The 11,765-nt window shown below is 40.1% G+C and overlaps 1 protein-coding gene across 5 annotated transcripts in view; it reads right to left on the bottom strand.

Annotated features, from left to right (window-relative positions):
- Positions 1 to 9,182, bottom strand: part of POTEB3 (POTE ankyrin domain family member B3) — a 35,099-nt gene extending 25,917 nt beyond the window's left edge. For 4 of the 5 annotated variants that reach the window (NM_207355.5, XM_011543797.3, XM_047432107.1 and 1 more), the window contains exons 1-4: positions 8,174 to 9,182; positions 3,677 to 3,791; positions 3,344 to 3,517; positions 422 to 528 (exon numbers count right to left, since the gene is read on the bottom strand). In NM_207355.5, coding sequence (NP_997238.2) covers positions 422 to 528; positions 3,344 to 3,517; positions 3,677 to 3,791; positions 8,174 to 8,694 — 917 coding nt within the window. In that variant the 5' untranslated portion in view covers positions 8,695 to 9,182. The remainder of the gene's footprint in view (positions 1 to 421; positions 529 to 3,343; positions 3,518 to 3,676; positions 3,792 to 8,173) is intronic. The other variant, NR_110752.1, reaches the window with a different exon arrangement.
- Positions 9,183 to 11,765: the final 2,583 nt, after the last annotated feature.

The raw sequence follows: 11,765 nt of genomic DNA on the forward strand, positions 1-11,765 counted from the left end.
GATTTTCAACTCCTATTTATGTTTAATACAGCATATTTAGTGGAAAAGCATATAAGATACAGAGGTTAAAACCTACTAGAAAGGGTTAAAAAGTTCAATACTGAGTCATAAAGTAAACTGAAAGTTAAAGTTCAAACTTCATAAAATTAATATGAAATCCCTTTAGCTAACATAAGATCATGTAACCAAAAACATCATACAACAAATAACATCAGTCAATATAATAAGAGAAGATGAATCCTACTAAAACAGTTCTTTATGTTGCCCAGTCCAAATAATTGCTTTTCTACTTAACTGATTTGTGTTGATACTGATCACTATGTCCCAATAAGTATAATTTGATCTTATTAATTTATTATTTATGACTTGAGTGACTGCTATCAATCTAGAACAACACACAGATTAAAAGAAATAACCATACCTTCCATATCTATCAAGTGCATTTAAATTAGCTTTTTTCTTGATTAAAAATTTCACCACTTGCTGTTTTTGTTCATGTACGCCAAGCAAAAGTGGTGTGAGGCCACACTGTAAAACAATATAAAACAAAAACAATATGTAATTCAAAAAATTATGTATCTCTCAACTGAACTGGAAGCTTATGGACTTACACTCACAGAAAGTAAATAAAATTTGGTCGCTTCCTTCTCACTCTTCTGTACTTTCCCACATGCCACTCCTTCCCTTGGAAACATCCCTTCTCTGCCTCACCACATTAAATCTGATCATCTCAAAAACTCACTTTAAACATTTACTGTTTCCAAGACTCTTTGTTTCTAAATGAGCATTTGGCATGGCACTTTTGGATGATTTTTTTTTTCATTTAAACAAAAAGCTTCTTGAGGGCAGGGGCTGTATCTTTTATCTCTATTATTATCCAATCCTAAGACAAAATTGTTGTGTATAAAGCAAGAATTTGAATGTAAAATATTTCTTTAGTTTCACATGTTTTACCAAAGTTCAAGCTCCAACATGCAATAAATATTGCTATTAATACTCACACTGCCCATTTCAAGAATTTTTTCCAACATTTATTCATTTAAAATCTATTTGTATTTAATTTTTCCAGATTGTTAACTAGATAGATAATCAGTTCATAGGATTACTGAAACTAAGAGATTTCCTATCTGTATTCTTAATAACTCCATGGTTTTTAGTGTTTAAACCTGCCATCCTGATTAAGCCAAAGCTCTACAAACTTAAGAGACATACTGGATAGCCCACAATATAGCTTCAATTGACAAAAAAGGTTTAGAATTTGCTACAATTCTGAGAAAACTCTGCTCTTAAAAACGACTTACTGACCTAAGCACTTGAATGATTGAACAAAGGGACACAAAGTCCTGAGAGAGCCATCCTCTACTTATTGGAAGACTACTCACTGCAAATTTCTAAAGACCTTCTGAATGGCAGTGAATAACTGATGGTAGAAAGGAAAAGGTATTATTCTGTAAGCTGATAGATAGTGCCAATAATATTTATTTTAATGTCCCAACGACAGAGATAAGTCAGACTAGGCCAGGAATGGTGGCTCACACCTGTAATCTTAGCATTTTGGGAGCCTGAGGTGGGTGATTCACTTGAGCCCAGGAGTTCAAGATCAGCCTGAGAAACATGGCAAAAACCTCATCTCTACTAAAAAAAAAAAAATACAAAAACAGATTGGAGGACCACCAGAGCTTAGGGACGTCAAGGCTGTGGTGATCTGTGACCGCACCACTGCACTCCAGCCTGGGGAACAGAGTGAGACCCCATCTCAAAAACAAACAAACAAAAATTTAGATTAATGTTATTGGAAAGGAAAGATTTAAAGGAATTAGCACATATCCAACTCCAACTCTTCTAGAAATATCTGAAGTTTCTGAGATATAAGAATTTACATATTACACTTCTGTATTCAGTGGTTAAGCAGGAGTGTATCCGGATTTTGAGAAATTTGTTGTTGTTGTTGTTAGAGACAGGGTCTCATTATGTTGACCAGGCTAGAGTAGAACTCCTAAGCTCAGGCAATCCTCCCACCTCAGCCTCCCTAGCAGCTGGGACTACAGCCATGCACCACCATGCCTGGCTTCAAGGAAACATTTTTAAACATACATATCCAGGCTTTATTAGACTTACTCTATCAAAATCTTCAGGGGAAAACCTAGACCTGAAGATTATTTAAAAATTTTCCTGAGGTAACTGGAATGCACAACTCTAGCTGGAAGCTAGTGCAATAGACAATTATTTCAGTCTCATCTCTCATCACATAAACAATTCCCTTTATCATTTGAGGATTTGGCCAAAAAGAGGAAAGAGTAGGAGAGAGACTCATTTGCTGAAAACACCACAAAATTTTCCCTGGTAAGAGTAGAACAAGGTCTAGTAAACTCAAAATCCAACCTGATCTTTTTACTTATAAGCCCCTTATCTCCCACCTTCCCATCAAGACATTCTAGAATTGAAAGCAGAGTTGAGACTCTAATTGGCCATTTCTACCAGAATAGGATACTAAGTTGGTTAATTACTTGTTATTCCTTCTACTCAAGGGTTTCCCACTACATTACCACATATTCACTGCCAATCTGGTTCCTCAGAGGCCTCCTAAAATTGATCTCTAGGCAGTTTACAACCCACTAACTCCCTCTCCCAAACTGAAAACTGTCATTCTCTAAAATGGAAAAGAACCCTGTCTCACCATATAAAGGAAACAAATGAATGAACAACAATAACAACACACACACACACACACACACACACACACACACAAACAAAAACAAAAACAAAAAAAAAACCTCTTCATGGTCTTTTCCCCCATTACCTAATTTCCAAGTTGGCCTTGGTATTTCTGATTGCTGCATTTTTCCCTTTCCAATTCTGCCTCATGAGCAATCAGAAATATCTTAAGCCTTGCCACTGAGAGATACATCACCTCATATCTATTAGTGTTTTTTTAGGAATTTGCCAAAGTAGCAGGATTACTATTCACTGAAACATGTTTAAGTTTTCTTGGAGTTTTAATGTAAAACCTATTTCCAGGGCAAATTTTGTCATTTTACATTTGTTAGGGAAAAAAAAACTTGGCAGGGAAAAATTGAAAAAAAAAAAGTATTACCTTTTACAAATTCCGTGTTTTTTTTTTTTAAAAGCATTAACCACAAGTGCACTGAAAAAAACTGTACCCTCTAATGCTTCTTTAAAAGTAACAATATTTAAAATAAAGTCTTAGATAATTAAGTCATTTCAAAATATTTTCATTCAGGTTATGCTTGAGCTTCCAAATACGGAAAACTGGCCCTTACACAGGTCAATGTTAACACGAATGCATTTCAGTATTTTGAAGATAAAATTGGTAGATCTATACCTTGTTTTTTGATTCAATATCAGCACCATATAAGAGCAGTGCTTTGGCCATTAATTTATCTTCATTGTAGATAGCATAGTGTAGAGCGGTATTTCCATACTCATCTTGAATATTTCCATCAGCGCCATGTTCCAGCAACATTAACACACATTCATCTTCCTGGCATTGTACGGCCTGTCAGTATTAGACCAAAAACAAATTATAAGTCCTAGGAATTCAAAATAACATTCCACAGCTTTCACCAACTAGTTATATTTAAATGAGAAAACTCATTTTTATGCTATCTATTGAAATCAAACCCATCTCACGCTGATATAGTTGACTACTGCATACCTTTATCAGAGCTGTCCTTTTTTTGTTGTCAAGGACGTTAAGTTGACATCGTCTGTCCAGCAGGAGTTGTACTACTTCTGAATTTCCATTGGCAGAGGCCAAATGTAGAGCAGTCCTATGAGAGTGAGAAGACTTCAGGAAATTGTAGTGCACTAGCTAATGCCACATTAATGATTCATGTAGTTGCAAACACTGAATAGCCTATTACTCTGCCTTCAAAACAAACTCAATTTTCCTTTGAAGAAAGCACACTACTTATTACCTCTCATTAGTCACTGTATTAATGAAAGAGCAGCCTATTTGAATAGAAAGAGCATAGCTCTTGGATGACATTCAACTTGGGCTGGAATCCTACTTGAAGCTCTGTCGCTTCCTAGCTGTTGCTTAGCCTTTTTGTGTCTCAATTTCCTCATCAATAAAATGGGAATGAAAATAGTCAGTTTCTCAGAGGAAACCACTGTAATGCTTAAATAAGACTCTACACAAAATATAGAATAGTTCCTAACACAAATAACAGCTCAAAACTTGTAAGATATTATAATTTTTACTAATACCACTAAAGACAACATTTGAATTAAGTGAAACGATACAATTATACCTACACTTTCAGGTACATTTTAAAGATTACAGGTAGCGTTGTACTGTATTTTATTGAGTCTAAGATGATCATTGTCTCCATGTTTTAACATTTCTTACACTGAAATACCACTTATTAATTCATGATTTACTATAATTATAATTGGCAGCATTTAAATAATTTTCTTAGTGAGACATAAAATAATGGGGCATCATACAATCCCTGGTGCCTTACATTAAGTAGAATATGTTATAATATAACAGGTCTGGGGCAGTTCCAGTCAGATGACTAGCATTTAGATAAATTTTAGTTCTTAAAAGAACTATGGAATAAGAGGGCTGAGGTGAAAACAAAAACAATTTTCTAAAATAATCTATTTCTTACTTTGGTTTTCAAAAACTTTAAGCCAAAGAAATCTTGAAATTCAAATGAATAGCATGGGCTCATTTTTTTCAATACTTAGATTTATACAACGTATGTACATCAGATATTTCCAATCATTCATATTAGGATTTAAGACTGTTATAAATTTTCTCTTTTTAAAATGGATTTATGAAACTATTTGTGGAGCTTTTTTCAACTTTTACATTCGGGGATACAGGTGCAGGATGTGCAGGTTGGTTAACATAGGTAAACGTGTTCCAAGGGGGTTGGCTGTACAGATTATTTCATTACTCAGGTGTTAAGCCTAGTACCCGTTAGTTCTATTTCCTGCTTCTTTCCTTCCTCCCACCCTCCACCCTCTGATAGGCCCCAGTGTGTGTTGCTTCCCTCTAGGTGTCTGTGTGTTCTCCTCATTTAGCTCTCACCTATAAGTGAGACCATGCAGTATTTGGTTTTCTCTTCCTATGTTAGTTTGCTAAGGATAATGGCCTTCAACACCATCCATGTCCCTGCAAAGGACAGGCTCTTGTTCTTTCTTTTATGGCTACATAGTATTCCATGCTGTTTATGTACCACATTTAAGTTCTTAAAACAGCTAAAACAGTGTTTACCCAAGTCTTATACATTTTCAAAAGGGCAGTTAAGGGTTATCTTTTACTATTTTCCACCTTCAGAAGTGCTTTTGTTTGAAAGGAGGGAGGAAAAGCTTCAATTGAGATTAAGTCCTAATGCCCCAATTTTGATTCTCTCAGCTTGCTCAGGCGCAGCAGGTAAACATGAAGTTTTCAAAGGTGGAAGGATCCTGAGAGATAGCAGAATATGCCTGCCATATAATAGGTGTCTGGCTTATGTTTGATGACTAAACGGATTGAAAGAATGGATAAACATAGGTTGGAAGTTCAATATTTTTAAAAGAAAACTCCTGTTGAGTAGAGCAATACATTTGCGATAGTAACGATCATTTATATTTGCTATTTTAGTTTTCATAAATATATAACTAAACTAAAATAATTAATCCATACTATTTACACATCAATCTATATATAATAAGATGTATACACAATAAAATCTACCAGAAGAGGTAAACAGAAGCCCTCTACTTCTGAAGAGGGTAAAAGTTCACAGAAGATAGCCATCCACAGGTATAAAAATAAATAATAGAATGTAAGAAATTATTTGTATCTATGCAAGTAGCATATTCCTTCTCTTCCCAAGGATTATTTCATTACTAATGAAACTTAACTAAAACTTTGCAGATGTTCATTGCAGAAATCACAGATAAGAGAAAGGGAAAAACTTCACTTACAAATCCCCAGAAATAAGTTTGATTATATTTTCCACATATTTCCAGCTAACACAAGAGCAGATTCTATTTGTGTATATGTATAACAAACTGATTTTTTCTCACTTGATACAGCAAAGTACATCTCTGCATGCCGACATATCTCTGTATCTACTGACACCCTCAATGGTTACATATTATTCCATCCTATGGATGCACTGAAATTTGTTCATAAAATCTTTATATGAGTTCTTCTCAATACATGGCTATTTTAAGCAATACTAAGAAAAACAGCTGTGTCTGTTTCATATAGATATTTCGGTATAATGGAACAGATGGGTAAAAGGCATACACATTTTAAAAATGTGGTTCTTACCATCAAAGTGTCTATTTGAAAAGTCGCAGCAACTTAAACTTTCAGCAGGTATATAAGTACCACTGTTCTTCACCCTCACAAACTTTGTGGACACAAAACAGTATTTCATTCCTTTATATTTATTTATTTATTTTTATTTATTTATTTTTTTGAGATGGAGTCTCACTCCATCACCCAGGCTGGAGTGTAGTGGTGCAATCTCAGCTCACTGCAACCTCCATCTCCCTGGTTCAAGCAATTCTCCTGCCTCAGCCTCCTGAGTAGCTAGGATTACAGGTGCATGCCACCATGCCCAGCTAATTCTTTGTATTTTTAGTAGAAATGGGTTTCACCATGCTGGCCAGGCTAGTATCAAACTCCTGACCTCGTGATCCAACTGCCTTGGCCTCCCAAAGTGCTGGGATTACAGGCATGAGCCACCATGGCTGGCCTTTCATTCCTCTTCTAACTTAAACAGAAAATAGTCTTTCATTCCTCTTCTAACTTAAATTCCTTCTCTTAGCAGGAATGCTATGTTTTCCTATGTACACAGGTCACTGGTAGACATGCAAAAAAGTACCTTGCCCAATTTTAAATTGAGCTTATTTTATTATATCTGCATATATATGCCGGTTTCAGTGGCTCATGACTGTAATCTCAGCACTTTGGGAGGCTGAGGTGGGTGGATCACAAGGACAGGAGTTCAAGACCAGCCTGGCAAAGATGGTGAAATCCCGTCTTGATTAAGAACACAAAAAATTAGCCAGGCATGGTGGTGGGTGCCTGTAATCCCAGCTACTTGGTAGGCTGAGGCAAAGAATTACTTGAACCAGGAACCAGAGGTTGTAGTGAGCTGATATTGCACCACTGCACTCCAGCCTGGGCTATGGAGTGAGAGTCTGTCTCAGAAAAATAAATAAATATTTGCACATATAAATAGGCATTTGTGTTTTCTTCTGGTACTTTTCTCCTTTTGTATCTTTAAAATTTTTAATCTATACTCCAGGAACTTATTTTTGTGACATAAAAATCTAGGTAGTTTTCTCCAAACAGCATGCATTTAATTTATGAATAATTCACCTTGTTTTACCAATATGAAACATCACCATTATCAAGTGCTAAATTCTTACATATATTTGGGTATTTCTGGATTTCCTATTCTGTTCTGTTCACTTATGTCTTTTCAGCTGTTAGTAAACAATTTGTGGAAATAACACACGCACATTTTGATATCTGGAAAAGCAAGTCTTTTTCCATTCTGTTACAAAAAATCAATTTATCACAATGATAAAATACATCATGTGCAATTTAAAGACACTAAGACTTTGCTATTTTTATTTGGCTTATGTAAAAGTGATAAACACAGAAAAAGCTCACATCTTAAGAAAAACGAACCTTCCTATTCAAAGATATGAACCATACTTCCCATTTCAGTTTCCTTTTAAGGTTACTCAGTAAAGAACGTGTTTACATAGGGTACACATCGATATAAAATCCATATTGGATTTTATTTGAAAAATATTTAGCCCAGAAGTTGATATATTATGGGACTTAGTTCTCAATATACACCTTTCTATAGTGTATAGAACATTGTTTTAAAATGTGTACATTAAAAATAATCTGCTGCATCGACTTAATTTTGCGAGTTAAATCACTTTAAAACCGTCTATTAGTGTTCTATAAGGGAAATTATAATTGGATTGGAAATCAGCTAAAGTTTTGTTTTTGTGTTGCTGTTTATAAAGGGACCTGGGCCCTGACATCTCTGAGGTTTCCACACCCAGGGTGGTGTGGGGCCTGCGGAGGAAGAGAAAGCCTGGCTCCTCCCTCCCTGCGCCAGGAGGGTATGTCCCCATCATCCCCCCATGTCCCGCCTCCTCCCATCCCAGGCCCGGTTACCTCTTTTGCTTGTCCCTCTTGTTCATGTCAGTGTCCCTGAGCATGACGATGAGATCCTTTCTGGGGACTTTACCCCACCAGGCAGCTCTGTGGAGCTTGTCCAGATCTTCTCGACGGACGTGGTACCTCGGCTCCATGAAGGCGCTGTCGTCGTAGTCTCCCCAAGTGCCCACGTTGCTCTTGCCGCTCCCCCTGCAGCAGGGGAAGCAGTGACAGCACCACTTGCCCATCTTGCTCCTGAGTGTCTTCATAAAGGAGTTGTCATGGTCTCCAGAAGTGCCCACATTGCTCGTGCCGCTCCCCCTGCAGCAGGGGAAGCAGTGGTGGCAACACTTGCCCATCTTGCTCCTGAGCGTCTTCATAAAGGAGTCGTCGTGGTCTCCAGAAGTGCCCATGTTGCTCTTGCCGCTCCCCCTGCAGCAGGGGAAGCGGTGGTGGCACCACTTGCCCATCTTGCTCCTGAGATCAAATGGCTTCTTCACAGCAGAGGCAGCGGGCATTGAACAAACCTCAGCCACCATCTGCTTTTAACAGCCAGGGGAGGCCGGTAGTAGCGAACAGATCGCGTCTACCAACCAGTTTCACCAACTAGCAGGAAACCCTGGGTTTCCAATCTGTTTGAAGAGAAAGGTCAATCCCAGCCAAAACTTGCCAAGCCCAGCAAGGGAGCCCAGCCCACCCCACCCAGGGAAAACCCACACCCACCCGGGGAAAGCCCACGCCCACCAGGGGGACCCCACGCCCACCCCAGGAAAGGCCAAGCCCCCCCTCCCAAGGAAACACCCAGCCCAGTCAAGGGAATGCCAAACCCAGCAGAGAAAAGGTCAAGTCCAGCAAAGGAATGCGAGGGAGGAAACGCCAATCCAAGCAAGAAACACCAGGCAAAGCTACTAACAGCCAAGCCAAGCTAGGAACGCAAGGCCAAGCGAGGAACGCGAAGCGAAGTGTACCCGTTACAGGTAAGCCAAGCCGTTATGCGCGTGCGGGGCGCGCGTGCGGGGCGCGCGCCTCAGACGTTATGCGGCGTGTGCGTGAGGCGTGCGCGTGTCATTGCACGTGGTCCAGGAAGTGGCCGATGTGTGCAATCCGCGTGCGCAAGTCTTGGCGCCACAAATGTCAGTGACAGCCTTGCGTTACTGGCAAAGTTCATGGGAGTTGGCCCAGCTTTCTGGCCACTGAGGAGAGAAGCCTGTGGTGGGAAAAAGCCTCTTGAAGCAGGACTGGGGCTAGAGCGCCTGGAACTCGAGGATGCTGACAGCCTCCTCTGAAGAAAGCCCCCAAGACACTAGTGGTGGCGCTGTTGCGGGTGGCCGCCGCTGCAGCTTAGAGCTCTGGTTGGCGGAGCTGGATGCAAATGGCCTCAAAATCTCCGAGCACAAGACGCCCACGGAGCCCAGGGCCTGCCTGAGGCGCCTTCCACACCTGCTCCTCCTTGGTCCGCACCCAGAACACAGGGCCATCAGCAACGGGGCACTCGGGGCCACAGAATCGGGGCTGGGCTGCTAGCTCCTGCTGTGGTGCCCCCTGCCTGGTGTCCAAACCAGGGCCAACAGCTGTGGGGCTTCTGGCCCGGGGTGCTTCGCTTCACTGGCATGCAGTAGGGTTGAGGTGCAGGCCGCTGTCTCCAGGCCTGCAAGAGGGGGCTGGGAGGAGCACCTACCACTGATGGGGAGATGCAGGAAGGCACCCCCACGTGCAGATCCTGGGAACAGGACACTGCCAGCACCAGGGAGCCAGATCGGAGCCTCCCTGGCAGCCTGTGAGCTGGACCCAGGCAGTGGCACCTCTACCCTCCTGCTGGGACCCTCCTGCTGTGCAGGCTTATGCAGCCAGGCTCCAGGCTGCTTCACCCATACTGCAGGTGCTTTGGTGTGGGAGGAAAAATGCATTCTGGCCGGGCACTGTGGCTCACGCGTGTAATCCCAGCACTTTGGGAGGCTGAGGCGGGCGGATCATAAGGTCAGGAGATAAAGACCATCCTGGCTAACACGGTGAAACCTCATCTCTACTAAAAATACAAAATACTAGCGGGCATGGTGGTGGGCGCCTGTAGTCCCAGCTACTCGGGAGGCAGGAGAATGGCGTGAACCTGGGAGGCGGAGCTTGCAGTGAGCCCGAGATCGCATCACTGCAACCTGGGTGACAAAGCAAGACTCTGTCAAAAAAAGAAAGAGAGAGAGAGAGAGACAGAGACAAAGACAGAGACGGAGACAGAGAGACAGACGGAGAGAGAGAAAAATGGATTCTAAGCCTGGGACACCGACCTGCTCTTGCCAACAAAAGCAGAGGGGAAGCCAATTGCAAGTGCAAAAAAAAAGTTTTTATTTCAGTGGGATGAATGTCTAGGTGTGCAGTCACTGGAGTAAACGTCACTGGGACATGCTGTGTAATTCTTTGTGTACATTGCTGAGTTCTACTGCTAATGTTAGCCCATTGCATTCATGAAACTGGTAATTTATGACATCCCTTTTTTCTTTATCATTATTAGTTAAGGTTTGTCAATTTTATAGATATTTTCAAAGAACCAGCTTTATTTCTTTGCTTTTCTTTGTTGTTTTCTTTTGGCTGTTTCATTTATTTCTGCTCTTATCCTTATTATATTCTTTCTTATATTTGTTTTGATTTTATTTTGCTACTATTTTCTACTTTCTTGATGTGATAGCTTGAATTTTTATTTGAGAGATTTCTACTTTTCTATTATATATATTTAGTGAAATACATTTTCCTCTCAGCACTGACGTCAACTGTGTTAAATCAAGTTTGATATGTTGTATTTTTATTTTTATTCAGTTTAATATATTTAATTGTTTCCCTTGAGACGTTCTCCTTAGAAGTGTGCTTGCTGTTTAGCACTATTCACAATAGCAAAGACATGGAATCAACCTAAATGCCCATTGGTAATAGACTGGATGAAGAAAATGCAGTACCCATACAACATGGAATACTATGCACCCATAAAAATGAAGGAGATCATGTCCATTGCAGGGACATGGATGGAACAGGAAGCCATTATCCTCAGGAAACTAATGCAGAAACAGAAAGCCAAACATCTAATGTTCTCACTTATAAGTAGGAGCTGAACAATGAGAACACATGGACACAGGGAAGTAAGCAACACACACTGGGGCCTGTGGATGGGGGAGGGAGAGGAAGAGCATTGGGAAAAATCTCTAATGCATGCTGGGCTTAAACCGAGGTGATGGGTTGATAGGTAGGGAAAACCACCATGGCACAAATTTACCTATGTAACAAACCTGCACATCCTTCACACCTACCCCAGAACTTAAAATAAATAAAAATGTAAAAAAAAGAACTAAAAAAGTATGCTGTTTATTTTTCAAGTATTTAAGATTCTGCTGTTATTTTACTTTTATATTTTTAATTTGATGCCATTTTGGCTGGAGGATACATTCTACAGGATTTCAGTTTTTAAAAAATTCTTAATGTTTGTTAAAATCCAGGATACAGTCCATTTTGGTTTATGTTCTGTGGGTACCTAAATGTTCTGCTGTATTCTGCTGCTAGGGGGTGGAGCCTGTTTTTTTCTTCTTTTTTTTATCTCCAGGTACAATTTGCCCTATGAGACACCTGA

This window comes from Homo sapiens, chromosome 15, assembly GCF_000001405.40.
Source record: "Homo sapiens chromosome 15, GRCh38.p14 Primary Assembly".
Taxonomy (NCBI): Eukaryota; Metazoa; Chordata; class Mammalia; order Primates; family Hominidae; genus Homo; species Homo sapiens.